A 26,349-nucleotide genomic window follows, 5' to 3' on the forward strand; every position below is an offset into this window, starting at 1 on the left:
GCTGAGGCCAGGTAGTGGCCGTCTGAGGGCTGCAAGGGCAGGCTGCTCCCAGGAGTTAAGGAGGCAAACACTCTGAACACCCTGGAGAAATCACAGTTTATCTTTGCAACTACAAATTTGAGTGCTGTGTCAAGTGACCAGGTATTTTTGCAGATGTCTCTGAGGTGTTAAATCACAGGACCTGGCCAAGCAAGATCTCTCAGCTGGACCCCGGGCAGGGGATCCTTTATGGGGGCACATCTCACTGTGGGGGCTGCAGAAATGTGAAGGTCATCATGGAGGGAGCTTGCGGTCTGAAACTACCCCAGCCACTGTGACTACCACACTGGGAGAGATCATAGACCTGCATCCTCTCAGATGACACTGAGCAGTTCAAGCTAAAAATGTGCTGGTAAGCAAGGTAAGTGAATTCTAAAGCTAAAAAAAATCATTTTTCATTTTCTGAGAAGGAAACAAGTTTGATATTTCATACACAGACAATATTTACCATGCAGACTGTCAATTTCTTGAATAAAAATATGAAATTCATTTAAAACATTCAAGTTTTTGTGTATTTTTCTCAATGTATTAACAGAAGAGCAACCTGTTTCTTGGCTGCTCGATTGTCTCACCTGCACATCAATCCTTTTCTATACTCTCCCATGGAAGAAGGGGTCTCCAGGGGCAAGAGACTTTGGTCAGAGGACTGCAGGGAGCCAGGCAGCACCCATGTCTTGGAGCCTCCCCTCTCCCTAGGGCGTGTGCCTTGCTCCATATTTTGTGCCTTTCTTCTGGGAGTTTTCAAGAGCTTGAGAATTTTCCTGGAGACTCTGGCCACAGGGCCTGAAGCTCTTAGATTGCTCAGAACCCCATGGTAAAGGAGCACACTGAGGGTTTGGGGGACTTCAGTGTCTGGGAAGAAAAGTAAGATCATAGCAAATGATTTCTAAAAATAAGAATGACACCAAGGATGGAAGAGCTGTAGTGTCTCACAAGACAGTCACTGGAAAAAGTAGAGGAAGTGTGGTTGGACACTATTTTTAAAGAGATATTCACACAATTACCTCTAATCTTTAACTTTGTAGAAATAAGCAAAGGCTACCCATATGAGAACCCACAGGAGCCACTGGTTCTGAACTTGCTATAGCAAGAGAGTCAGCCAGGATCACTTACTTTTGGCAGACACTCAAAAGCAGGCAGAGGAGTGGGAAAGCCTTATAGTAAAAAATAAAAGGTGGGGAGGGTGAGGAGAAGCCTTCAGGGATGCTGTGATTGGGGCTTGTTGGCCTGGGGAAGCTGGAGGCAGCTAACCAGGAGGAGGGCCTCTTATGTGATTGGTTTGGGGGACACAGGTGGCTTTCTCTGTTTAGTTCAGTGGGCAAAAAATAGGGAAGCTTGCAGTTCCTGACCAAGTCCTAACCATTCTGGGATAATTGTTACAGAGGCTGTGGTTTGGCTTCCTGGCTAGTTCTGCAGAGAATCTGATTCAAATCCTCTGGCCGTATGTGGTCTGGCCATTGTCTGTTTGCATGTTCAGTCTCTTAGTCCCCCTTGTCGGTCATTTTCTTGTTTGTAAAAGGTTGGCCAACTCAAGGAAGTCTAGAGATCCAGCTCTTCACTGCTCAGAGATTATTCAGTTGTCTCTCTGGTCAACCGTATTGTGAGATCTTGATCCTTCTGTTGTTATAGCATCACAGTGCTCATTTGACAAGAATGGGATGCAGTGGAACAACATCAGGACCACTATGACAGAAACAAGAGCAACTGTCCCTGTGAGACGCTTTGAACGCAAACCTCAGCTGACCAATGCAGGCCAAGAGCAAATCCCATATAGGCCATGAGGATCAACCTTAGAAAGCCAAATAGCTTTTGCCTCAAGGTGATGTGTGACCTGTTCTACCTTCTCTTGTTTCACTGATCCAGATGCAGTATTAGCAGTGGCAGAGGCCATCACCAACCAACAAGAAATCTACAGCAATGAGACTGTCCATCACTACTCATGCCAATGAGTTGAGACTGATAGGTGCCCCATCTAGGGAAGAAGGGGCATTGCTAATGACTTCTGCCAGGGTTAATGATAAGTTTATGACAACAGGATTCCCACAGATGAGAACATTGCTCTGATTGTTTGCATAAACAATGAGTCAGTAACTCCCCAGTTAGAGTGCTGAATAACCAAGGGTGATGTTACGGTTTTTGCAGTTTTACACCAACCGGTTTGTGGTAAATCGTTACAGCAACCCTAGGAAAACCAACGCACCATTTCTATGTATGGTTAATGCATGGCAGGTGTTTAAAGGTATTGCAGGATATTGGTGCTTTTCCTTTCCCCAGTGCACCTCATTGATCTCAAGTGAGGGATTTTTCTTTTTGTCTTGATTTTTGTTTTCTAAGTTGAACAATCTTTTTTTCTCAGTGTCCTTTCTGTATACAGTATCTATAAGTGCCCTTGTCAGTAGCTGACTGGTTGGGGAGGGGCTACCCAGCTGTTTGATCAGCAGGGCCACAAGTTAATTTTAGGTCCTGTCTTATTTTTGTTCTAAAGCACTTTTAAAATGTCTGCCAGGTGTTGTAGTTCAGGTTAAGGGGCTATTTCCCATTCTCATTTCTGTTTTTGATTAGGTCTCCGATTTCAGATTTAGCTCCTTGACAACAAGCAATGAAAGGGCCACTTTCTAGACTCCCAAATGATACAATGTATTTTCTAGCCTATCCCAAAAAAAACTCCTGCAGGTCCTTTTGTTTGTTTGTTTGTTTTTGCATGACAAGGGATTATGGTCTAATCTTTTTGGTGGGGGGAATGTTTGAGATATGGCTTTTAGAAGACTTTGCCCTATGTTTTGAGCCTCTTTGTTAACTCTTCAGTTTTATTGTGGACAGTGGGATCCTAGGATCCCTTTTGGGGGAGTCTAGTCAACTTTTGCCATTCAGGATTTAGCATGCAAGGTTCTGGTCAATGTGTACAAGTTGATATGGGTTAGGTAACACTGGGTCACATGCTTCCCCCCGCCGCTTTGCGATAGGGTCTTGCTCTGCCACCAAGGCTAGAGTGCCCGTGGTGCAATCATGGCTCACTGCAGCCTCAACCTCCTGGGCGCAAGTGATCCTCCCATCTAGCCTCTTGAGTAGCTAGGACTACAGGCACACACCACCATGCCTGGGTTTTTTTTTCCATAGAGATGGAGATCTCACTATGTTGCTCATGCTGGTCTAACTTGTAGGCTCAGGCAGTCCTCACTGATTCACCTTCCAAAATGATGGGATTACAGGTGTGAGCCATAGTGCCTGACCAAAGTATTCTTAATTATTTTATGCATAGTTGCTGATCTTGCCTGGGTTTGGGGAAATCCTTAATTATGGTTATTAATTTAGCTTGGGTCTAAGGTTTAAATTCCACAGTTGTCTGTATATGGGGCTCATGGAGGAATAGGCCTTCAGAGAGGCAGCTGGCATCCTGGGGTCATAGGAGGGTTGTTGTGAAAGGGCAGGGATCTGGACAAGAGGAAGAGAAGTGTGGACAGATGTGTGGAAGGGAAGAGATCAGAAGGATAAGGGGGAGAAGAGGGAGAGCTGTATTAGGGAAGCAAATGGATGATAAGCAGAAGGATTTACTAGGAAAATGAGTCTAGGTTGTTGCTGCTTAAGTTTGCCAAATCGCTCATCAGCTTTAGCCAGAGTCTTTCAGGGAAGCACTTTTTGAATCAGAATATCATTTGGAGACCTCTGACTACCAATCAAAAAAGGCTGCTCATTGGGCCTAAGAAATCTTATTCTCTTTCGTTTCTAAGGCATCTCTCAAATGAGCAATTTTGTTCAAGTTAGATGTTCTCCAAATAAGATCTTCACCAAATCAACCTTGGTGAAGTTAATGCTTTTCAGAGATGGGCGTAAGGATTAGAATTGTTAGAGAGTATATGTAAGAAGCAGGAGTTTTTTCTGGAGGAGGAGATTTAAACTTAGACAACACCATGAATGCTGGCTGGTGAGGCTGGCGAGAAATGGAATGTTTGTGTCTCTCAGGACATGAAAGCGAGACGGAAGGAGAACCTCATTCAGTTTTACTGGAAACCCACAGCAAAGTTTCTCCAAGTAGAGGCCGGTGTGATGAGAACTGCTAAATCATGAGCTGCGAGGCTGGCTCAAACAAGAGGCTTATGAGCCCCATGCCTGTGTCCTTTCCTACGGTTTTCCTTCTTATGACAAGCAGCACTTTTTGACAGCACAACACTAAACACTAACACAAAATACAGTGAAAAGGGATAAAAAGAATGGCCTGATTCCACTAGAGATGCCAGACAAATGAGAATCAATAACAAAACCAGAGTACCAAACTGAGAATAAATAGCCAGAGACCTCCACGCAGAGTGAGGTGAGCCCTAGTGCTGACCACATCGGCGCACCTGATAGGCCGAGAACATGGAGGCATGAGGGGCCTCTGGGTGGCACAATGGGTGGAAGCCTGGGGACCTCAGGGACAAGCAGTACAGACTTACCATGGGATCACCAGGAAAACTGTGGAAACCAGCAAAGGCTATTTATTCACAACTTGCTATAGCAGGGGAATCAGCCAGCATCACTTACTTTTGGTAGAAATTTAAAAGGCCCGAAAGAGATGGGAAACTTTTATTGTTTTGTTTTGTTTAAGTATCAGATTGGAAATTATTGGCAGGAAATGTTTTTAATTACATTTTTCTGATATTAAACCCAACACAGTTGTACTTTAATATTTTCCCTAGGAGAACTACTTATTTTACAACTATATCCCAGTGTATCACCCATGATCAGCCACATAATTTGAATCATGCATTATCTTCTCTCCACATTCAAATTACATACATTTAGTATTTGGCTACTTAAAAAAAAATCATTAAAAAGTAACAATTTAAATCCATTGATGGGAGAACCTCAGTTAGTTTCAAAACAACAATTCTTGCCAGGCGGGGTGACTCACGCCTGTAATGCCAGCACTTTGGGAGGCCGAAGCTGGAAGATCGCTTGAGCCCAGGAGTTCAAGGCCAGCCTAGGCAACAGAGGGAGGCCCCATCTCTACCAAAAAAAATATTAACAATTAGCCGGGCATGGTGGCATGCACCTGTGGTCCCAGCTACTCGGGAGGCTGAGGCGAGAGGATCGCTGGAGTCGGAGGTGGGGAGGCTGCAGTGAACCGTGATCGCTCCACTGCACTCCAGCCTGGGCGACAGAGCGGGACCCTGTCTCAAAAAATAGATGAATAAATAAATAAAAACAATTATAATGGAAGTTTGGATAGGAATTTAAAACATGTGGCAACTAACCCTGACCCTGCGGCTTCAGTCTCCCCGCCGCTAGCTGAGGGCCGTGGCCGCTGCACAGAGGCTTGTGAGGATTCGGGGGTTCAGGCAGCGCCCGCCGCGCATCTGCCAGACGTGCGGCCACAGGGTAGGAGCAGTAAGAAGGATCCAGGGAAAAAAGTCCACGAATGAGAAAGGAAACCCAGCGTTTGTAGGGCTAGGAGAACAAAGAAAGAAAATGCTGGCGGCGGAGGGCGAGGCTCTGCGGTGCGTGGCAGATGGGAATTTGCTCGGTGGCGGCTCCTCTTTCTGGAGAGCTTCCCAGCGTCCCCTCCCCCGCCAGCCCGCGGTGACGCGCCCGGCACCCACCACAGCCGGCTCTCGGCGCCGTCGCGCCTTCGCTCGCCCGCTTAGGCCGTGCTCGCGGTGGCGTGGGAGACAGAGAGCCCAGGGAGGACCCTGGAACATGCAGTGGTATGGAAGACGCCTAAGAAAGGGCTTCTCTTTCCACTCACGAAAATCAGTGTGTGAGCTCGAAGCCATTTCCCAGCGTGTCCGCCTCAACTCCCTCATTCAACAGATGAGGAATTCCTCCAGGGAAATGCAGTGATGCGCTCACGGCTGCCGGCGGCCCAGCGCCAAGGGGCGCTCCACAGCCCCGCGGCCCGAAGCCCTCGACTCGGCTGCCACGCAGGCCCCGCGGCCCCGCTCGGACTCCCAGGATCGGCTTCCGAGCGGGACAGCGCTGCAGTCCACGAGTCCGGGCAGGGGCGCCTCCAGGCCGGAGCGGTTTCCTGCCTCGGGCACTCTGCTGTCTCCACAAACGGTTTTTGGAGGCACACACACGGATACTTTAAACACGTCGGTGATGAATCGGTACCCAGCTGCCAGTGGCGGAGCTTCCTGGGCGGGGCCGCGGGCGCGCGGCGGCTTCATTTCCTCGCGCGCGCCGGAAGTGGCCTCTCAGGCGCGGCGGCGCGCCCGGGGGTGGGTGGCTGAGGCGGCGGCGGGCCCAAGGCGTGAGGCGCCGCCCGGGTGTCCCCGCGGCGCAGGAGGCGGTGGAGCGCAGAGCGGGCGAGCGCGGTGAGTACCTGGCCCGGCCTCGCCCGCCGGTCCGCGACTCCCGCCGGCTCCGGCCCGGGCGGTGCGGGCGCCGGGGCTGCGGGCTCCTGTGTGGTCGGGTGGGGTCGCCTAGCGGACCGGTCCTGCGGGGGGCCCTGTCTCTCAGGGATGAGCCTGCCGGAGTCGGCACCGGTTTTAGGGAAAGCGCGGCCAGAGACGATTGGTTCGCTTGTCAGTGTTGGGTTTTGTTTTGTTTCGTTTTGTTTTTACCTATTCATCACCATCTCTGCTCCTCTCAGTGGATAAACTTTTTAATCAGTGGTGACCTCGTCATCGCGTTAAAATAGTTCTGCCCTCAGCCCCTCTTTATCTGTAGATGGCAGAGCGAGCGCCGGTAAAGATGCTCTGTCGTGGAGGGCTCAGTGGGGCGGAGGAGATGGGGAGCCTCTGGCGTTGTCGGAGAATGCACCTTAAAAATGACTCTACCCTTGAGCAACGCAGGAAGCACGACAGTGATACTTCTGTTTGTGATGATGGTATTGGCGGTATGATAGTTTGATTATACATCTGAAGCTTCTCTTCCTGAGTCCTTGGCTTGTTAAACTTGGAGGTATTTTCTAGCGTGCTTTTGAGATAGATATGGGATGTCGTGACGTTTCACCGTCATTCAAGGCTCGCGGGAGCAGGGCCTTCATGTCTGGTAATTAATGTTGTTTTTTGAATGTTGTATTAAAATAGTAGCTTCGATCTTGGAAGTAAGAAGCCAAGTATTTTAGGACTGAGTGTTAGCGTTCATTTTGTATTATTGTTCTTGTACCATTTGTTTAAAGTTGTCATGTAACTAAAAGAATGAAAAAAGATGGATTTCCAGTATTTGTGGCTCAGAGGATTTTGGCCTAAATAAACACAGTTCCAACCAGTTTAGAAGCTGCATTTTTCTCTTTGTTTTTGTCGAGGCATAAAATACATATGAAATCAATAAGAGCACGAATCTTAATTGTACAGCTCAATGAATTTTTACATACTTATTACCCTGTGGAACCACCAGATATATCAAATTATAACCATAGAACATTTCCATCATCCTATTTTCCTGTGCTTCTTCCAAGTCAGTTATATCCTTGTTTTCCCATCTGTATTCTAACTTCTCTTATCTGCTTTTAGTTTTCTCTGTTTTGAGCTTCATGTTAATGGAATCACGTAGTATTCTCAGCATATTGTTTGTGGGACACACCCATGCTATTTCATGGTATTGTATTATTACTGTGTAATAGTCTATTGAATAATATGTGACTACTCTTCAGTTGATGGACATTTATGTTCCCAATTTTTGTATATGATGTGTTTTGGATATTAAGAATACTGTGGGCCTGGCGTGGTGGCTCAGGCCTTTTATCCCAGCGCTTGGGGAGGCCGAGGCAGGTGGATCACTTGGTCAGGAGTTCGAGACCAGCCTGGCAAACATGGTGAAACCGCATCTCTACTAAAAATACAAAAATTAGCCAGGCGTGGTGGCGGGCGCCTGTAAGCCCAGCTACTTGGGAGGCTGAGGCGGGAGGTGGAGGTTGCAGTGAGCCGAGATCGTGCCACTGCACTCCAGCCTGGACGACAGAGCCTGACTCGGTCTCAAAAAGAAAAGAAAAAAAAAAGAGTACTGTGGACATTCTTGTAAATTAAATGTCTTGGTGAGCATCTGTATGCATTTCTGTCAGCTATAGAATGACTGAGTCATGGCATAAGCAGAAAATTACCAACATGGAGTCATTACCAACCATACCATTACCAACCAAAGGCAGAAAATTTAACCAACATGGAGTCATCTTTTTTTTAATGTAATAGAATTTGTTATTTTAACTAATATAACATTCAAGGTTGGTTTTAAAAAAGCATAACTATTATGAGTTCAAGACGTAAGTGATTCATTCATTACCATGTTATTATTTACCCTTTGAATTGCACATTTATGACTGTCTTCTGTCGGACTGTCATTGTTTGTTTAACTGTTAGACAAGTCTGTTAGAGCTGGTGAGGATCTGACTCTGAAGTTTAGCATAACATTTACTTAAGAACTGTATTACTCAAGTTAGTGGTTTTTTAGAGGAAATGAAATACCAAAAGGATATGACTGAAAGTGGATTGAAGAATCACGGGACTGCAAGTCAAAGAACTTACATTGTTATTGTCATGCTACACAAGCACTAGGTATAAGTGTAAAATTGAATTATAGGGCTAGTTACAAATGTGAATTCACAGCAGGAGTACAGTGATTTTCATATGGACTGAGATACTACTAGCACATTTATAATGTGAACACACAACAAAAATCACTAAACATTTGTGGGAAATCGGTAGCATCTAAGAGAAGCTTCAGACCAAACAAATACAGAACTAGGCACTGAAGCAGTGGAGCTAATGTAAGACAAAAGAAAGCTTTAAAGTAAGTATTAGTATCTTCAAATTTGTTAAGGTATTATGCCTACTGAACACATACAGGCTGCCATGAAAAAAAGCAATTGATTCTTGAATATTTAAACATGGAAAGTAGGAAAGGGCCAGGTGTGGTGGCTCATGCCTGTAATTCCAACACTTTGGAAGGCCGAGGCAGGAGGATCTCTGGATTCCAGGAGTTTGAGAGCAGCCTAGGCAACATAATGAGACCCTGTCTCTACAAATAATTTTTTTTTTTTTTGAGACGGAGTCTGGCTCTGTTGCCCAGGCTGGAGTGCAGTGGCGCCATCTCGGCTTACTGCGAGCTCCACCTCCCAGGTTCACGCCATTCTCCTGCCTCAGCCTCCCGAGTAGCTGGGACTACAGGCGCCCGCCACCATGCCCGGCTAATTTTTGTATTTTTAGTAGAGACGGGTTTCACCATGTTAGCCAGGATAGTCTTGATCTCCTGACCTCATGATCCACCTGCCTCAGCCTCCCAAAGTGTTGGGATTACAGGCGTGAGCCACCGCACCTGGCCACAAATCATTTTTAAAATTAGCAGTATGGTAGTGCACACCTGTCGTCCCAGCTGTTCAGGCAGTGGAGGCTGCCACTGCACTTCAGCCTGGCTGACAGTGAAACTGTCTCAAAAAAAAAAAAAAAAAAAAAAAAAAAGAAAGTGGGAAAGACTACCCATGACATGCAAAGTAGATCTAGAAGAGTCAATATACATCTAATAGGAGTTCCAGGAGGCATTAGAAATAGGAAAAGAAGAAATAACCACAGAGATAACAGAGATCGCGAAGGTAGGAGTGTCCAGGCACAGTCTTGGGCATCCTGAGCCAGGGAGAAATAAGTATCAGAGGACAAAGGACTGGCAAATATAGATCAACCCTTCCCTCTCTGGTCTGTTTCTTTGTCTGTACAGTGGGGACGAACAAGAAGTATGCCTTTTCTGAGAGCTTATGGAAAGATGTGTTAGGTTTGCTGACTGTTCCCCACTCTTCTTCCCTACCAGCTCACAGAAGGGATTGGGGTTGTGTGCCCTTATATGTTGTTTAACCTTTTTATCACATGTATTTATTTTGTGAAATTTTTAAAGTGTAAAAATTTTTTAGAAGTTAAAGCAGGGGTTGCCAGTATGGCTGGCTGCCTGTTTTAGTATAGCCTGTGATCTAAGACTGGCTTTTACACTTTTTATTTTTTTTATTTTGTATTTATTTATTTGTTTATTTATTTATTTATTTATTTTTGAGACAGAGTCTCACTCTGTTGCCCAGGCTGGAGTGCAGTGGCGTGATCTTGGCTCACTGCAACCTCTGTTTCCTGGGTTCAAGTGATTCTCCTGCCTCGGCTTCCTGAGTAGCTGGGATTACAGGTGCATGCCACCATGCCCGGCTAATTTTTAGTAGAGACGGGGTTTCACCGTGTTCCTCAGGCTGGTCTTGAACTCCTGACCTCGTGATCTGCCTGCCTCAGCCTCCCAAAGTGCTGGGATTACACGCATGAGCCACCGTGCCCAGCCCTATACTTTCTAATGCTTTGGGGAGAAAAAGAAAATAATGCTTCATGACCCATGAAAATTATATGAAGTTCAAATTTCAGTGTCCCTTGGAACACAACTATACTCATTCACTTACATATCATCTGTGACTGCTTTTGTGCTGCAAAGGCAGAATCAACTGGTTGTGACATTTACTGTCTGACCTAAAATATTTGCTGATTCCTGGTTTAGAGGTCAGAAATGGACTTATGCATATATAGGAATTTTGCTAATGATAAAGATGGCATTTCAAACTAGTGACAAGAGCATGGATTGCATGGTAAATGGCAAGAATTAGCTATCTATTTGAGGGAAAAATTACTTTTATTAGGATTACTTCAGGTAGGGAAGCTAAAATCAAGAAATAGGAAAAGATTGATAGATTTGAGTCTATTACCACCACCACCACCACCAACAAAACTTTGCTTAATAGGAAATAATATCTAACAGTTACTGAGCACTTATGCTTGTCATGTTTTACTTGAATAAGTGTTATAATTATACTCTAAGGTAGGTTCTGTAATTATTCCCACTTAACAGAGGAGGAAACTGAAGTTTACATATATTATGGAATTTGTCTGTAATGAAGAGTAGAAAACCATGATGCAGATCTTTGAATTCAGGCCATCTGGCTCCCAAGCCTATTGTGGACAAGACAAACTGAGAAAAAATATTTGCAACATGGTAACACCATTTTGTAGGTACTATCTACATCAGCACATAAAGATGTACCTAATTCCTTTAAAATATTCTGTTGTATAAATGTCTTCAGTTAATTTAACCTTTCCTCTATTGATGAACATTAAGTTGCTTATAATTTTATTTTGCTGTTACGTGTAACACTGATAAACATCCTATGTATGTGACTTTATATAGTAGTATGGATACTTCTGTAGTATAGAATCAGGAAAGTGGAATTGTGAATTGCTGGATTAAACGGCCTGTGCATTTAAATCAAGTTTGCTCTCCAAAAATGTGTGTGTGTGTGTGTGTGTGTGTGTGTGTGTGTGTGTGTGTGGAATCATAATAAAGGAATCATAATATCTTGGAAGGAACATTGACTGTTCAGGCAAAACTGCCTCATTTTTGAGAGGAGGCCCTGAGAGGTGAAGTGTTATGCCCAAGATTACATAGCTATTAAGTAGCTGTTACACTTGACTCTTTAACTGGTTTTTGCTGTGCCACAGTTTGGCACATTTTTCTCCTTTGTCTTGCTGAAATCCAGGTACCATGATTATAGTTTTCTCCAGAAACACGCTGTTAAAAGGATCCATTTGATATTACTTGTCCTTGGTACTCAGCACAGTGCCTGACACACAGTAGGTAATCAAGTATTTGTTGAAAAAGTGCTGCTTTCAGATGATCAGTACTTACAGACCACTTATTCAATAACATGTTGACAACCCATGCATCACTGTAATACTTATCAAGTAATCAAGAACTTATCAAGAAATGAAACATTCTGATCTCCTCCTTCCTAGATATTTACACTTCATAATGCTTTAGTTTTCTGACTGGTTATGTTTTCCAAATAATTGTGTGGCTTTGTTTTTGCTTTGTAAAAAATGAACTCAAAATTATAAATTTAGTTTTTGAAAACCTTAATGAGAAATTGTTCTGTGCAGAAAATTTAGGAAGATTATACAGAATATGTTTTATAATACACTCAAATGGATTATATCTTTCAGAGGGCAGTAGATTAGTCTTCCAAGTTAGCTTGACATACTGCATGCAATGTACATGTCCTGGAAATGATGCATAACATTTGTGTTCATAGTACCAAAAATTGTGTATAATCAAGATTGAGTAAAAACTCCTTAAGGGTCTTATTATTATGTAAGGGACCAGTGCTGTAGCATTAACTATCTTTAACACTTCTGTTGTCTCCAAGTCACAAGGCAAGGAGAAAAGATATGGTAAGACCTTTAAAGGAATATGTAAATATGTAGTACTCTATTTTTGGGGAGATGAGGGGCTTAGTTTTGTTTTTTAAATGCAAATTCATAATCAACAAATCTTTATACTTCAGTAAACAAACTGGAGGGGTTTTTTTTTGTTGTTGTTTTACAAATGCCTTTTTGGCACTGCTACTGAATCTGACTTGGCTTTATTTTTTAAACAGCTTCATTGAGGTATAATTGACATAAAATAAACCACATATTTAAAGTGTGCAATTTGATAAGTTTTAACATATGTATACACCTGTGAAATCATCACTGCAACCAAAGTAATGAGCAAATCCATTACTCCCAAAAGTTTTTTCACCCCTTTTTATAATTCCTTCCTGGTACCACCTCCCACAGGCAATCATTGACTGATTTACTTTCAGTTAACTACAAATTACCTTGCATTTTCTAAAATTTTATATAAATAGAATCATATAGTAAGTACTTCTGTTGCCTGGCTCCTATTACTCAGAGTAATTGTTGATATTTATCCATGGTGAAGCATGTGTCAGAGTTTATTCCTTTTTATTGCTAAGCAGTGTTCCATTGTGTATCTGTTTTACTACAGTTTGTCCATTCACCTGTTGGTGGACCCTGGGTTGTTTCTGGTTTTGGGCTCTACACCTAGAAGCTGCTATGAACATTTGTGTACAAGTTTTGGTATTGTTAAAGTATAAACTGAGGCAGAATAAAATTTTAAAGAGTTTTGTCTGAGCAAACAGCAATTCATGAATCAGACAGCAACAAATCAAAAGTGATTTGGGACTCCACCAAAGGAATGCAAGTGGAAGACTTCTATAGGATGAACAAGGAAACAAGGCAAAGAAAATATTTGATTAATTATATTTATATAGTTGCCTTGTTTAGTCCATCCTATTGGAAAGTCCCTAGTTATGTAAGTTAGTTGATGGCTTCTAATTGGCGTAGCCTAAGTTTGTTTGTTTCTTTTTTTTTTTTTTTTTTTTTTTTAAGAGACAGGGCTAGAGTGCTTTGGTGCGATCGTAGCTCACTGCAGCTTTGAACTCCTGGGCTCAAGTGATCCTCCCACCTCAGCCTCTCAAGTAACCAGGGCAACATGAACTACAGACATGCATCGCCACGCCTGGCTAATTTTTTAATTTCTTATAGAGGCAAGGTCTCGCTAGCTATATTGCCCAGGCTGATCTCAAATTCTGGCCTCAAGTGATCCTCCTGCTTCAACCTCCCAAGGTGCTTACAGGCATGAGCCACCATGCCCAGCCTGATTTTTCTTTAATATAGGCACAGACAAAAAATAACCAAAGTTTACATTTGCAAACAGCCCAAATTAAGTTTTGCTTCTATTGCTTATATTTGCAAGGTCAAGGTTGTTTTAATGGCTTAACTGGCTTTGTCCAGGGGATTTACAGACCTGGTCTCCATCTTATTTTAATAGTATGAATATGTGCTTTCATTTCTTTTAGGTAAATATCTAGGAATGGAATGGCTGGATCATATGAGTAGGCTTACTCACTTATTAAGAAACTTGGCCTGGACTACATAGCAAGACTCTCTCTCTAAAAAAAGATTTTTTTTTAATTAGCCAAGTGTATTAGTCTGGGTTCTCTAGAGGGACAGAACTAAGAGGATATATGTATATATGAAAGGGAGTTTATTAAGGAGAATTGACTCACACCATCACAAGGTGAAGTCCCATGATAGGTCATCAGCAAGTTGAGGAGCAAGGAAGCCAGTGGTGGATCAGTACGAGTCCCAAAAGTAGGGAAGCTAACAGTGCAGCCTTCAGTCTGTGCAGCCAAAGGCCCAAGAGCCCCTGGAAAACCACTGGTGTAAGTCCAAGAGTCCAAAAGCTAAAGAACTTGGAGTCTGATGTTCTAGGTCAGGAAGCATCCAGCATGGGAGAAAGATGAAGTCCATAAGACTCAGCAAGTCAGCCCTTCCATCTTCTCCTGCCTGCTTTATTCTACCCCCGCTGGCAGCTGAGTAGATGGTGCCCAACCAGATTGAGTGTGGGTCTACCCCTCCCAGTCCACTGACTCAAATGTTAATTTCCTTTGGCAACACCCTCACAGACACACCCATGAACAATACTTTGTATCCTTCAGTTCAGTCAAGTTGACACTCAATATTAGCCATCCCACCAGGTGTAGTGGCTCCCACTTGTAGCCCCAGATACTCGGGAAGCTGAGGCAGGAGGATCACTTGAGCCCAGGAGTTAGGCTACATTGAGCTATAATATGATAGAGGCACTGCGCTACAGCTCTGGTAACAGAGCAAGATGCTGTCTTTTTTTTTTTTTTAATAAGAAAATAATCTAACTTGTTAAGTTCATAACTTATTAACAAAACTATTTTATATTCCCATCAGCAGTGTATGAAAGTTCTAGTCCTTCCACGTTAACAACACTTGGTATGGTCATTCTTTTTAATGTTAGCCATTCTATTTTTAGCCCTTCTGTGTAGTGGTGTCTTATTATGGTTTGATTTGCATTTCCCTAATGACTAACAATGTTGAGCATCTTTTTTTTTTTTTTTTTTTTTTTTTTGTGGAGACGGGAGTCTCGCTCTGTCGCCCAGGCTGGAGTGCAGTGGCGGGATCTCGGCTCACTGCAAGCTCCGCCTCCCGGGTTCACGCCATTCTCCTGCCTCAGCCTCCCAAGTAGCTGGGACTACAGGCGCCCGCCACTACGCCCGGCTAATTTTTTGTATTTTTAGTAGAGACGGGGTTTCACCGTTTTAGCCGGGATGGTCTCGATCTCCTGACCTCGTGATCCGCCCGCCTCGGCCTCCCAAAGTGCTGGGATTACAGGCGTGAGCCACCGCGCCCGGCCGAGCATCTTTTTCAAGTGTTTATTTGAAGGGTTCAGGCCTTTTCCCACATTTTAATTGAGTTGTGTTTGTTATTATTTCATTTTGATCATTTTAAAATATATTCTTGGTACAAGTCCTTTATAAGACGCATGCTTTGCCCATATTTTCTCCAGGTCCATCACTTGTCTTCTCATTCTCTTAACAATGTCTTTGAAAGAGCACAGATTGCTAATTTTGATGAAATTCAATTTATCATTTATGCTATTGAATATCATATCTAAGAAATCTTTGCCTAACTCAGAGTGACAAAGATTTTATCCTATGCTTGCTTTTGGTTTTTTTCCATTTAGGTCTATGATTCACCTTGAATTACATGCTAGTGGATGTGGAGTGGTATCTAATTGTGCTTTTGATTTGCATTTCCTTTTTGGCTAATGGTGTTGAGCATCTTTTCATGTATTTATATAGGCCATTTATATATCTTCTTTAGAGAAATGTCTGTTCAGATCTTTTGCTTGTCGAGTTATCTTTTTTTTTTTTTTTTTTTGCTTTTTAAAGTAAGACAGACAAATGATTTACAAATGTTCTCTAATTGTATGGGTTATTTCTTCACTTTCTTGTTGATGTCCTTTGCAACACAAGTTTTTTTATTTTGATGAGGTCCAGTTAATATTTGTTTTGTCTTTGGTGTCATATCTAAGAAGCTGTTGCCTGATCCAAGGTCACAAATATTTACACATAGGTTTTGTTCTAAGAGTTTTCTAGTTTTGACTCTTATATTCAGATATTTGACCCATTTTGAGATAATTTTTGAATGTGGTGTGAAGTAGGAGTCTAGTTTCATTCTTTTGCCTGTAAATATCCAGTTGTCCCAGTACTATTTATTGAAAAAACTATTCTTTCTCCCATTGAACTGCCTTGCTATTCTTGTTGAAAATCAACTAACCATAAATGTGATGATTTATTTTTGGGCTTTAAGTTCCATTCCATTGACTATATGTCTATTTCTATGCCATACCACATTGTCTTAATTACCTGGGGCTCTGTAGTAATTTTTGGAATTGGGAAGTGTTTTCCTTCAATTTCATTTTTCTTGTTCAATATTATTTGGGTTATTCTGGGTTTCTTGAATTTGTATAAATTTTAAGATCAGCTTGCCAATTTCTGCAAGAAGTCCACTGGGATTCTTGAAGAGGATTGTGTTTAATCTGTACATTAATTGGGGAATATTACCATTTTAGCAATATTAAGCCTTCCAATCATGAGTGTGGTGTCTTTCTGTTTATTTAAATCTTAACTTTCTTCCAACAATGTTTTGTAGTTTCTATGAATACAAGTCTTGCAGTTCTTTTGTTAACATTATTCCTATTTTATTCTTTTTGATGCCATATTGTATACAGGATTGTTTTTTTAATTTCATTTTCAGATTGCTTGTTGCTAATGTAGAGAAATACAATTGATTTTTGTATATCGATATTGTATCCTACAACTGGCTGAACTCATTTATTAGTTATAATAGATTTTTAGTGAATTCCTTAGGATTTTCTGCATACAGATCATATCATCTGCAAATAAGGATAGTTTTACTTCTTCCTTTTCAATCTGGATGCCTTTTATTTCATTTTCTTGCCTAATTGCCTTGGCTACAACCTCCTCTAGTACAATATAAATAGAAGTGACAAGAACAGACATCCTTGTCTTATTCCTGATCTTGGGGGAAGGCATACAGTCTTTCATCATTAAATACAATGTTAGCTATGGGTTTTTTGTAGGTCCCTTTTCTTAGATTAGGAAGGTGTCTTCTAGTTTATTGAATGGTGTTTGGTTTGGTTTGGTTTGGTTTTTTGAGATGGAGTCTCGCTTTGTCGCCCAGGCTGCAGTGCAGTGGCGTGATCTCGGCTCACTGCAACCTCCGCCTCCCAGGTCCATGTGATTCTCCTAACTCAGCCTCCTGAGTAGCTGGGACTGCAGGTGCATGCCACCACCACACCCGGCTAATTTTTTGTATTTTTAGTAGAGGCGGGGTTTCATTGTGCTAGCCAGGATGGTCTCTATCTCCTGACCTCGTGGGATCTGCCCACCTCGGCCTTCCAAAGTGCTGGAATTACAGGTGTGAGCCACCGCACCCAGCCCCTATTGAATGGTTTTTATTAGGAAATGGTGTTGGATTTTGTCAAATGCTTTTTCCATGTCTGTTGAGATGATCAAGTGAATTTTGTCTTCTATTGATATGGTATATTGCATTAATTGATTTTCAGATGTTAAACCAACCTTGCAGTCCTGGGATAAATCTTATTTGGCCATGATGTATGATTCCTCTTATATATTGCTGGGTTCGTTTTGCTAGTATTTTGTTGAGGATTTTTGTATTTATATTCATATAGGATATTGGCCTATGGTTTTCTTTTAATGTCTGGATTTGGTAGCAGGATGATACTGACCTTATAGAATGCTTCCTCTTCTATTTTTTGGAAGAGTCTGTGAAGATAATTCTTATTTAATAATAATAATTCTTATTTAAATGTTTGCTAGGCTGGGTGTGGTGGCTCACGCCTGTGATCCCAGCACTTTTCGAGGCTGAGGCGGGTGGATCACCTGAGGTCGAGAGTTCAAGACCAGCCTGACCAACATGGAGAAACCCCATCTCTACTAAAAATACAGAATTAGCCAGGCGTGGTGGTGCATGCCTGTAATCCTAGCTACTCGGCAGGCTGAGGCAGGAGAATCCCTTGAACGTGGGAGGCGGAGGTTGCGGTGAGCTGAGATCGCGCCATTGCACTCCAGCCTGGGCAACAAGAGCGAAACTCTGTCTCAAAAAAAATAATAGTAATAATAAATAAATGTTTGGTACATTCCACCAGTGAAGCCTCTTGGCCTGGACTTTTCATTGTGAGTAGTTTTTTTATTATTATTAATTCAATCTTTTGTCATATAAGTCTATTCATATCTGGTATTTCTTCTTAAATCAGTTTTGTTAGTTTCTATCTTTCTAGGATTTTGTCCATTTTATTCAGTTATCTTTTGAAGAGATTTAGATAATAATGAGCAAAAATCTTAGTTACCAATGTCGTTAACATTAATGATGTTTTTCATTGCTTTGTATAAATCCATATTCCTTTCTGGTATTATGTTCCTCTGCCTAAAAGACTTACAGTACAGGTATGATGGTGATGAATTCCTTTAGCTTTTTATGTAGAGAAAGTATTTTGCCTTTTTCAAAGATAATTTCTCTGGGTATAGAATTGTAGGCTGGCATATTTTTCTTTTTAGTTCTTTAAAGATCATTGTTCCACTGTCTAATTACTTTCAGTTTTCAAAGAGTAATCTGTCATTATTATCTTTTGTTCCTTGTATGTGATGTGCATTTTTCATGTGGCCAGTTTAAAGATTTTCTCTTTACATTGGATTTGAGCAATTTGATTATCATGTACCTTGCTATAATTTTCTTTATGGCTATTTGGGATTGGTTGAGCTTCTTATGTGTGTTTATAGTTTCCATCAAATTTGGGAAATTTTCAGCCTTATTTGTTTAAGTATTTCTCCTGACTCCTTCCCCCTTCTTTGGGGACTCCAGTTACATGTATATTAGGCTGTTTGAAGTTGTCACAGAGCTTATCAATGCTTTGTTTATATTTTTGATTCTTTTTTCTTTCTGTATGTTGCATAGTTTCTTTTGCTACATCTCTAGTTTACTAATATTTTCTTCTAAAATATCTAATCTGCCATTAATCCCATTCAGTGTATTTTTCATCTCAGACACTGAAATTTTCATCTCCTGAAGTTTAACTTGGATCTCTTTTATGTCATTCATACCTCTACTTAAATTTTTGAACATAAACATCATTTTAAAAATACAGTTATGATAGCTGTTTTGGTGTCCTTTTTCTGCAGATTCCCACATCTGTCAGTTCTAATCATTGGTCAGTTTTAATTGTTGATTTTTTTCATTATGGATCATATTTTTTTATACCTGGTAATTTTTGTTGAGATGCCAGATATTGTGAATTTTATTTTGTTGAGTACTGGATATTTCTGTATTCTTATAAATATTCTTAAGGCTTGTTGTGCTATTACTTGGAAATAATGTGATCCTTTCAAGTCTTGCTTTTAAGATGTATTGGCAGGATTAGTGCCATGTTTAGTCTAGAGCTAATTATTTCCCACTACTGAGACAAGATTTTTTTGAGTGCTCTACCGAGTGCCCTGGGAATTCTGAGGTTTTCCAGTCTGTCTGTTGGGAACATGCACTAATCCTGGCCCTGTATGAATGCTGGGTTCTGTGTCCTCTAATTTTGTGTGTGGTCCTTTCCTTAGCCCGTTAGTTGCCTCATAAGCCTTTACTTATCAGTGCTCTGCCAAATACCCATGGGATATCCTATTCAGATTTCTGGAGTTCTCTCTGTGTGCAGCTGTATCCACTCTGGTACTATATGCTTTAATCCTAGATACCTTGGTCTCTTCAGACTATGAGCTGCATCCCATGAACTCAGGGAATCTGCTGGGCTCTGCTTAGGTTCCCCTCCTTGTGTGGCTCAGAAACTAAGGCAGTAAGCTGGCAACCACTTGTTTCTTGTTTCTCTGGGGATCACTGTCCTTTGTTACCTGATGTTAAATATCTTGAAAATCATTGTTTCATATTTTGGGTTTGTTGGCAGGAAAAGTTGTTTGTTTGTTTTTGGTTGTTTCAAGACAACCAAAGAGAGCAAATCTGAGAGTAAATCTGGCCCGTTACTTCATCTTGGTCGTAAAAGGAAGTCAGTTTTTTAAGCAGTTTTAGAGAGTTAGAATTGATGGCTTGTAAGGTTTCTTTCAATCCTGAGATCTTTGGCTTCATATTACATACCTTTAACAGCTTATTTTCCCATCTTCACATTATCCTTTTCTCTCCTCAAAACACTTAACTATCTGCATTTGTGCTTAGAAGGCTTGTTGGGATTAACTCTGGGCTGTGAATGAACCGTATTCATGATACAAACACATTTCATAGAATGATGACAATCAAGATGTAACAACAGAAAAATGTTTTCTATAATATTCTTAATATATTTATATGATAGAACAGCTATAATGTAATCTTCTAGATTATGGCCAAAGAGTTTCTTTCGGGAACTAGGCAAATAAGATTTTAATTGAAATCTTTCATTTTTAATAACCACAGAATTATGCAACTTTTACATTCTGAAGTAATTACAGTATCCTTTCATTTTATTGGAAAATATTCAACTGTAATATTAAGTAGGATATCTCAAAACCTGTATTTCCCTTAAAGGGAAGAGGAAGAAAAATGACCTTAGCTTTTTAACACTGCCACTGATAATTTCCATTCTATTTTATTGAAAAGTAAACCTTCAGTAGTGACCTATTGTCTGAGTTATAGCTCATAGTCTAAAATACATTGTGTATATAAAGAAAACATATGAGGTACCATATTAATAAAAGATAGTGGTAGTTCTGTTACCCAGTTTCACTTCAGTTTTGAGTATAACATGCTTAAGTATGTATATCTTTATTAATTAAAGTATGTATATCTTTATTATACAAGATTATGTCTCCACATTTTCAGTTCTTTTTCCTAATAAATGGGCTAGTAATAGTTAAAACAGATACCGCTAGGTTTATCTTTTAAATAATGAAATTCAAGTGTTTTCTTATGCTAGGGATTATGGTTTTGAGGTATGGTTAAGTCCTGGAAATAATACTAGTTATTTTTTGATTAGATGGTATTTCTTAAAGCCAACTATTTTTTTTCTGTTTTTTTCTACATCACTCAAACAAGATTTATAATCAGTAAGAGAGATGCTGTAATAGTAAAAGACTCCCTTGGCCAGGCGCGGTGGCTAATCCCAGCACTTTGGGAGGCCGAGGCGGGCGGATCACGAGGTCAGGAGATGAGACCACGATGAAACCCCGTCTCTACTAAAAATACAAAAATTAGCCGGGCGTGGTGGCCGGCGCTTGTAGTCCCAGCTACTCGGGAGGCTGAGGCAGGAGAATAGCGCGAACCCAGGAGGCGGAGCTTGCAGCGAGCCAAGATCGCGCCACTGCACTGCAGCCTGGGCGACAGAGCAAGACTCTGTCTCAAAAAAAAAAGGACTCCCTTGTAGTGAGTTAAATTTTTCAAGATACTTGGTTATCATTTCGTTTACTAAAATAATAAATGACTAAGGAGAGTTAAGACCATTATTTGTGGTATATTGGCCATAAGAAGTTTTCTTCTGTCCTATGTTTTATACAGACATGTTACCAAAAAAAAAAAAATACGCATTGCAGCATTTGCCACAGAAAGCATCCAGGTTTTTCTACTCATTAAAAAAGTGGCTAGGACTGATAACCTGTAGTGATCTTCCAGGTTTTGCTGCAGTGAGAAAACCATTACTGTTAAAAACCTGCTGTCATATCACATTATCCTTCTCAACAAGCACTTTGTTACAATGGAAGTTCTCTTTGCAGTGGAGTCCTCCTTGCCTCCCTTGTCCTAAGTTAAACCTCTATTTTTAGAGTTAAGAATCATTAAAGACATGGAAGAGTTCGCACAACTGGTTGTGGCATGAACGATAGCATGTAATTTTATAAATGTATAAATGGTTTTTGAATTTTTTTCTCTGCTGATAAGGATGATTAAATTCTTCATGTTTTTTCTTTATATAGACTCCAAACCTTTCTAGACTTGTAGGAAATCTGTTGATGCATAATACAGTGGAAAGAATTATGTGATCTAATGTGCAAATAATCTACTGGAGGACATTGGATATAAAAATGTTTTCTTAATGTGTTTTTCAGATGTCTGTGAGCTTTTGAAGTTGTTCTTTCCCCCACTTAATTTTAAGTCTCCTAGATTGGCTGAGCTGAGCAGTAGAAATTAATGAGGTAGAATGCTTGAGTTGAATAAACTGGGAGAAAATCTCTCTCTCCAGTAAACCGTTATTACTGTAACAGAAACAGTTTCTATAAACTCAGTTCCCAAATGGTCATAAGCTTTAGTTGGGAAATGGTGCGGTAATTGAAATACTATGTTAATAAAGAGTTATAGGCAATATAATTTTCAAATAATTAGAGAACAGTAGAATATATGTAATACAGACTATGCTGACGTAATTTTAATGTTTCTTTGATTCAAGTTATAGCTGTGTAGACATAATAGTTAAAAGTATTATACATAGTTTATTGTTTTTTAAGGTATTTTAAAAAATTCTCCCAGGCCAGGCTCAGTGGCTCACACCTGTAATCCCAGCACTTTGGGAGGCCAAGACAGGCAGATCACCTGAGGTCAGGACCAGCCTGGCTAACATGGTGAAACCTTGTCTCTACTAAAAATACAAAAATTAGCTGGGAGTGGTAGGCAGATGCCTGTAGTCCCAGCTACTCAGGAAGCTGAGATGGAAGGATCACTTGAACCCAGGAGGCAGAGGTTGCAGTAAGCCAAGATTGTGCCACTGCATTCCAGCCTGGGTGACGGAGTGAGACTCCATCTCAAAAAAAAAAAAAAATTCTCCTAGTATTTACTGAATATTCTAAATTATATTAGTACCTCTCATAGTTCTCTGCATGTAGTAGTCACGTAGCTAAGTTTACTGAAGCCACAAACAAATTTGATATCCTTAAGGGAACAAAATTCTGATTGATTCTGATCTGTGTCTTTCAGAAAAATCACTACCAATATAATGGATTTTATATATCAGATTGCTTTATTCTGGATATCATGGTAACAATACAGAAAGTATACATAATTTCCCATTTCTGCAAGTAGTCATGACTGCTGAAGAAAGAAAAACTTAAAGCTACGGCAGAATTATTTTATGGAAATTCTGATTTTGTTTTTAATTTTTGATAACTTTTTACTAAAGGTATGAACACACAAAGAGCTTATTTTGTTAGGCAAATACACATTAATAAGAATGCCTAGAAGAGGACTGATTCTTCACACCCGGACCCACTGGTTGCTGTTGGGCCTTGCTTTGCTCTGCAGTTTGGTATTATTTATGTACCTCCTGGAATGTGCCCCCCAGACTGATGGAAATGCATCTCTTCCTGGTGTTGTTGGGGAAAATTATGGTAAAGAGTATTATCAAGCCCTCCTACAGGAACAAGAAGAACATTATCAGACCAGGGCAACCAGTCTGAAACGCCAAATTGCCCAACTAAAACAAGAATTACAAGAAATGAGTGAGAAGATGCGGTCACTGCAAGAAAGAAGGAATGTAGGGGCTAATGGCATAGGCTATCAGAGCAACAAAGAGCAAGCACCTAGTGATCTTTTAGAGTTTCTTCATTCCCAAATTGACAAAGCTGAAGTTAGCATAGGGGCCAAACTACCCAGTGAGTATGGGGTCATTCCCTTTGAAAGTTTTACCTTAATGAAAGTATTTCAATTGGAAATGGGTCTCACTCGCCATCCTGAAGAAAAGCCAGTTAGAAAAGACAAACGAGATGAATTGGTGGAAGTTATTGAAGCGGGCTTGGAGGTCATTAATAATCCTGATGAAGATGATGAACAAGAAGATGAGGAGGGTCCCCTTGGAGAGAAACTGATATTTAATGAAAATGACTTCGTAGAAGGTAATGTGAAAAATATGTTGGTCAATATTATGTTAGTAAGACAAATGCTAGTATTGTATGCTGGTATTGTATTGTAGTATTGTACTGTAGACAAATGCTAGTATTGTATTGTAGACAAATGTTAGTAATATAAGTCAGTCATTATCCACAGTATTAAAACACTGAAAGTTTTTGCACTTCATTGCACCAAGAATTTTAAGTGGCCTTCTGGAAAAAGGTATGAGATCATAATAAAAATGGAGAATAAGGACTAGGGAAATAGAATAAAACAGCTCTTGTTGCATGTGTATGATTTATATTCCTCACTTACCTGATCTTGGTGTTCTTTTTTATGTTTTTAAAAAATGTGTAAACTAAAACTCAAAACTTGAAAACCATTTGATAAAGGAAAGAAAAAATTAGTAGACTCTTAGCTATTTTTCGTATTGGAGGAAGGAGAAGCTCATGTCTGAACAAGGGGTTATACATAGTTTAAAAAGCACATTTGGCATTTGGAAAAGTAAGGAAATACCTGTTTTCCTAATACATATTTCAGAAAGGGTATGGAATTTTTATGTATCAAGATGGGATGTGACTCAGAGGTTGAAGAACACTGCTATAAAATTTAAGATATTGATTGATATTAACAGTAATAATTCTAGATCCCTACCCATCTCCTTTACACTCACTGCTAGACATTTAATTGCTGACTTAAACCATTTTAAAAATAAATGTTTCTTGAAAGTTCTCTTTGCTTGATTCTATAAACTGTGTTATCACAGTGGTCCCCAGCCTTTTTGGCACCAGGGACTGGTTTCATGGGTGACAATTTTTCCATGGGATGGTGAGGATGGTTTTGGGATGAAACTGTTCCACCTCAGATCATCTGGCATTAGTTAGATTCTCATAAAGAGCGTGCAGTGTAGATTCCTTGCATGTGCAGTTCACAACAGAGTTTGCTCTACTTTGAGAATCCAGTGCAGCCACTGATCCGACAGGAGGCGGAGCTCAGGCGGTAATGCTTGCCAGGCTCCCATCACTCACCTCTTGCTGTGCCGCCTAGTTCCCAACAAACAGGCCACGGACCAGTAGCGGTCTGTGGCCTGGGGGTTAGGGACCCCTCGTATAGCACATGTAGACTTTTTGACTCCAAATCATCATGGCCATCACTTGCTGCACTGTAGCATTATTATAATACACTGAGGCCCTTGGAGGCCATCAGGGAGGGCATTATGCTTTGCAGTGGCATTGCAGCTGCCTTTCCTTGTGGCCTCCTCTTTTTTCTGCTGTCACTTCCTGCCATTTTTGATGGATTATTTTTCTCAAAACTCTTCTGATTTTTCTGCAAGCTCAGCTTTTTGTCTTCTCACTGTATGTTTGTAGCTTATGGCAGAATTGGAAGCTGCGGAGGAAATAAGATAACTAAGTAACATGTGTAAAATGTCCTCACATCAGCTCTACCTAAAAAGAAAGGGAGCTGTGCCAGTTTTATATTCTGCAGCTCCTGCTTTTGTCTTATAACTCTCCTTGGATTCTGATACTTCAGGATTTTTCTCTAAATGGAACATATTCTGTTCCTCACTTTTCCTCTACTGTGCCACTGTCTGCCCACTGCAGGGAGAATAATTACTAATAATTAGTAATGACAACTAATTCCTATCCCTCTTCTAAACTTTAGCTCAGATATCACTTCTTCTGAGAAGTCATCTGCAACCTCAGGTCTAAGACAGCAGTACTTCTGTGTGCTCTTGTCACCTGTACATTCATACTGCTTGTCACAGTATGTGGCATTGCCCATTTCCTGGTTTGTGCTTCCTACTAAAGTGTAAGCCTCAGGAGGGTTGGGACCAAGTCTATTTTATTCACCATTTTATACCCAGATATTTACTGAGTGACTCACACATCTGTAGGTCTAACCTTCTTCTCTCTCCTGAGCGCCATACTTAAAAATCAGATTGCCACTGGGCGCAGTGGCTCACTCCTGTAATCCCAGCACTTTGGGAGGCCGAGGTGGGCAGATTATGAGGTCAAGAGATCAAGACCATCCTGGCCAACATAGTGAAACCCCGTCTCTACTAAAAATACAAAAATTAGCTGGGCGTGGTGACACACGCCTGTAGTCCCAGCTACTTGGGAGGCTGAGGCAGAAGAATTGCTTGAACCCGGGAGATGGAGGTTGCAGTGAGCCAAGATTGCACCACTGCACTCCAGCCTGGTGACAGAGTGAGACTCCGTCTAAAAAAAAAAAAAAAAAAAAAAATCAGATTGCCTCGTAGATGCGCATGCTTTTCTCTCAAAGGCATCTCAAATCACTGTGTTTAAATCTGTACCAATTTTTCTTTGACTTCACTCTAGTCAGTGATTTTATATGTATGTATGTATACACACATATATATATACAGATATATATATATATCACATAGCACTATATTGTTATTATTTGTCTATTTTTCTGTCTCCTTCACTAGACTGGCCCTGTCCTCAAAATTGAGACCATGTGGCACTCTTTGTATCACATAACTGACACGAAGGCACTCGATTTCTTTTAGTTGACCTAAACCAATAGAAATTTTGGCTCTTGGGTCTAGATTTTAATATTGCTAGAAGTAATTTCTTTATTTATCATGATTACCATATTGATAGGCTCTAGTATTTTTAAAAAGTCGTATGTAAAAAGGAACAATTGTCATTTGTAGTATATTTTATAGATTGAATAAAATAACAGAACAGTGAACTTTTTTTTTAACCTTTTCTTTTAAGCGAGTAATTGTTACTGTGCAGTGGGGATAAGTATT

General features: G+C 40.7%; 1 protein-coding gene and 1 long non-coding RNA gene across 13 annotated transcripts in view, besides 5 other annotated features; one reads left to right on the top strand and one right to left on the bottom strand.

Annotated features, from left to right (window-relative positions):
- Positions 2,435-2,504: a silencer, noted in NCBI's record as "silent region_2314". NCBI's record gives its function as "represses an Ori minimal core promoter by ATAC-STARR-seq in GM12878 lymphoblastoid cells {active_cell/tissue: GM12878}" and the evidence as "EXISTENCE:reporter gene assay evidence [ECO:0000049][PMID:35858748]".
- On the bottom strand, positions 4,589-6,158 carry CSGALNACT2-DT (CSGALNACT2 divergent transcript). 2 transcript variants are annotated; one of them, NR_186457.1, is made up of 2 exons: positions 5,274-6,158; positions 4,589-5,189 (listed from the first exon to the last, which is right to left on the bottom strand). It is a non-coding gene; the product is annotated as a CSGALNACT2 divergent transcript (long non-coding RNA). The 2 variants fall into 2 exon arrangements; NR_186456.1 differs by having other exon boundaries at positions 4,589-6,158.
- Positions 5,507-5,706: a silencer, noted in NCBI's record as "silent region_2315". NCBI's record gives its function as "represses an Ori minimal core promoter by ATAC-STARR-seq in GM12878 lymphoblastoid cells {active_cell/tissue: GM12878}" and the evidence as "EXISTENCE:reporter gene assay evidence [ECO:0000049][PMID:35858748]".
- Positions 5,837-5,896: a silencer, noted in NCBI's record as "silent region_2316". NCBI's record gives its function as "represses an Ori minimal core promoter by ATAC-STARR-seq in GM12878 lymphoblastoid cells {active_cell/tissue: GM12878}" and the evidence as "EXISTENCE:reporter gene assay evidence [ECO:0000049][PMID:35858748]".
- Positions 6,067-6,566: a silencer, noted in NCBI's record as "silent region_2317". NCBI's record gives its function as "represses an Ori minimal core promoter by ATAC-STARR-seq in GM12878 lymphoblastoid cells {active_cell/tissue: GM12878}" and the evidence as "EXISTENCE:reporter gene assay evidence [ECO:0000049][PMID:35858748]".
- Positions 6,210-26,349, top strand: part of CSGALNACT2 (chondroitin sulfate N-acetylgalactosaminyltransferase 2) — a 46,864-nt gene continuing 26,724 nt past the window's right edge. For 6 of the 11 annotated variants that reach the window (NR_135077.2, XM_017016388.3, NM_018590.5 and 3 more), the window contains exons 1-2: positions 6,210-6,332; positions 22,662-23,575. Coding sequence is in view for 10 of the 11 variants with exons in the window: in XM_017016388.3 (XP_016871877.1) it covers positions 22,915-23,575 (661 nt within the window). In the remaining variant the exon portion in view is untranslated. The other 5 variants (NM_001319654.1, NM_001319656.1, XM_047425439.1 and 2 more) reach the window with 4 other exon arrangements.
- Positions 6,677-6,746: a silencer, noted in NCBI's record as "silent region_2318". NCBI's record gives its function as "represses an Ori minimal core promoter by ATAC-STARR-seq in GM12878 lymphoblastoid cells {active_cell/tissue: GM12878}" and the evidence as "EXISTENCE:reporter gene assay evidence [ECO:0000049][PMID:35858748]".

This window comes from Homo sapiens, chromosome 10, assembly GCF_000001405.40.
Source record: "Homo sapiens chromosome 10, GRCh38.p14 Primary Assembly".
Taxonomy (NCBI): Eukaryota; Metazoa; Chordata; class Mammalia; order Primates; family Hominidae; genus Homo; species Homo sapiens.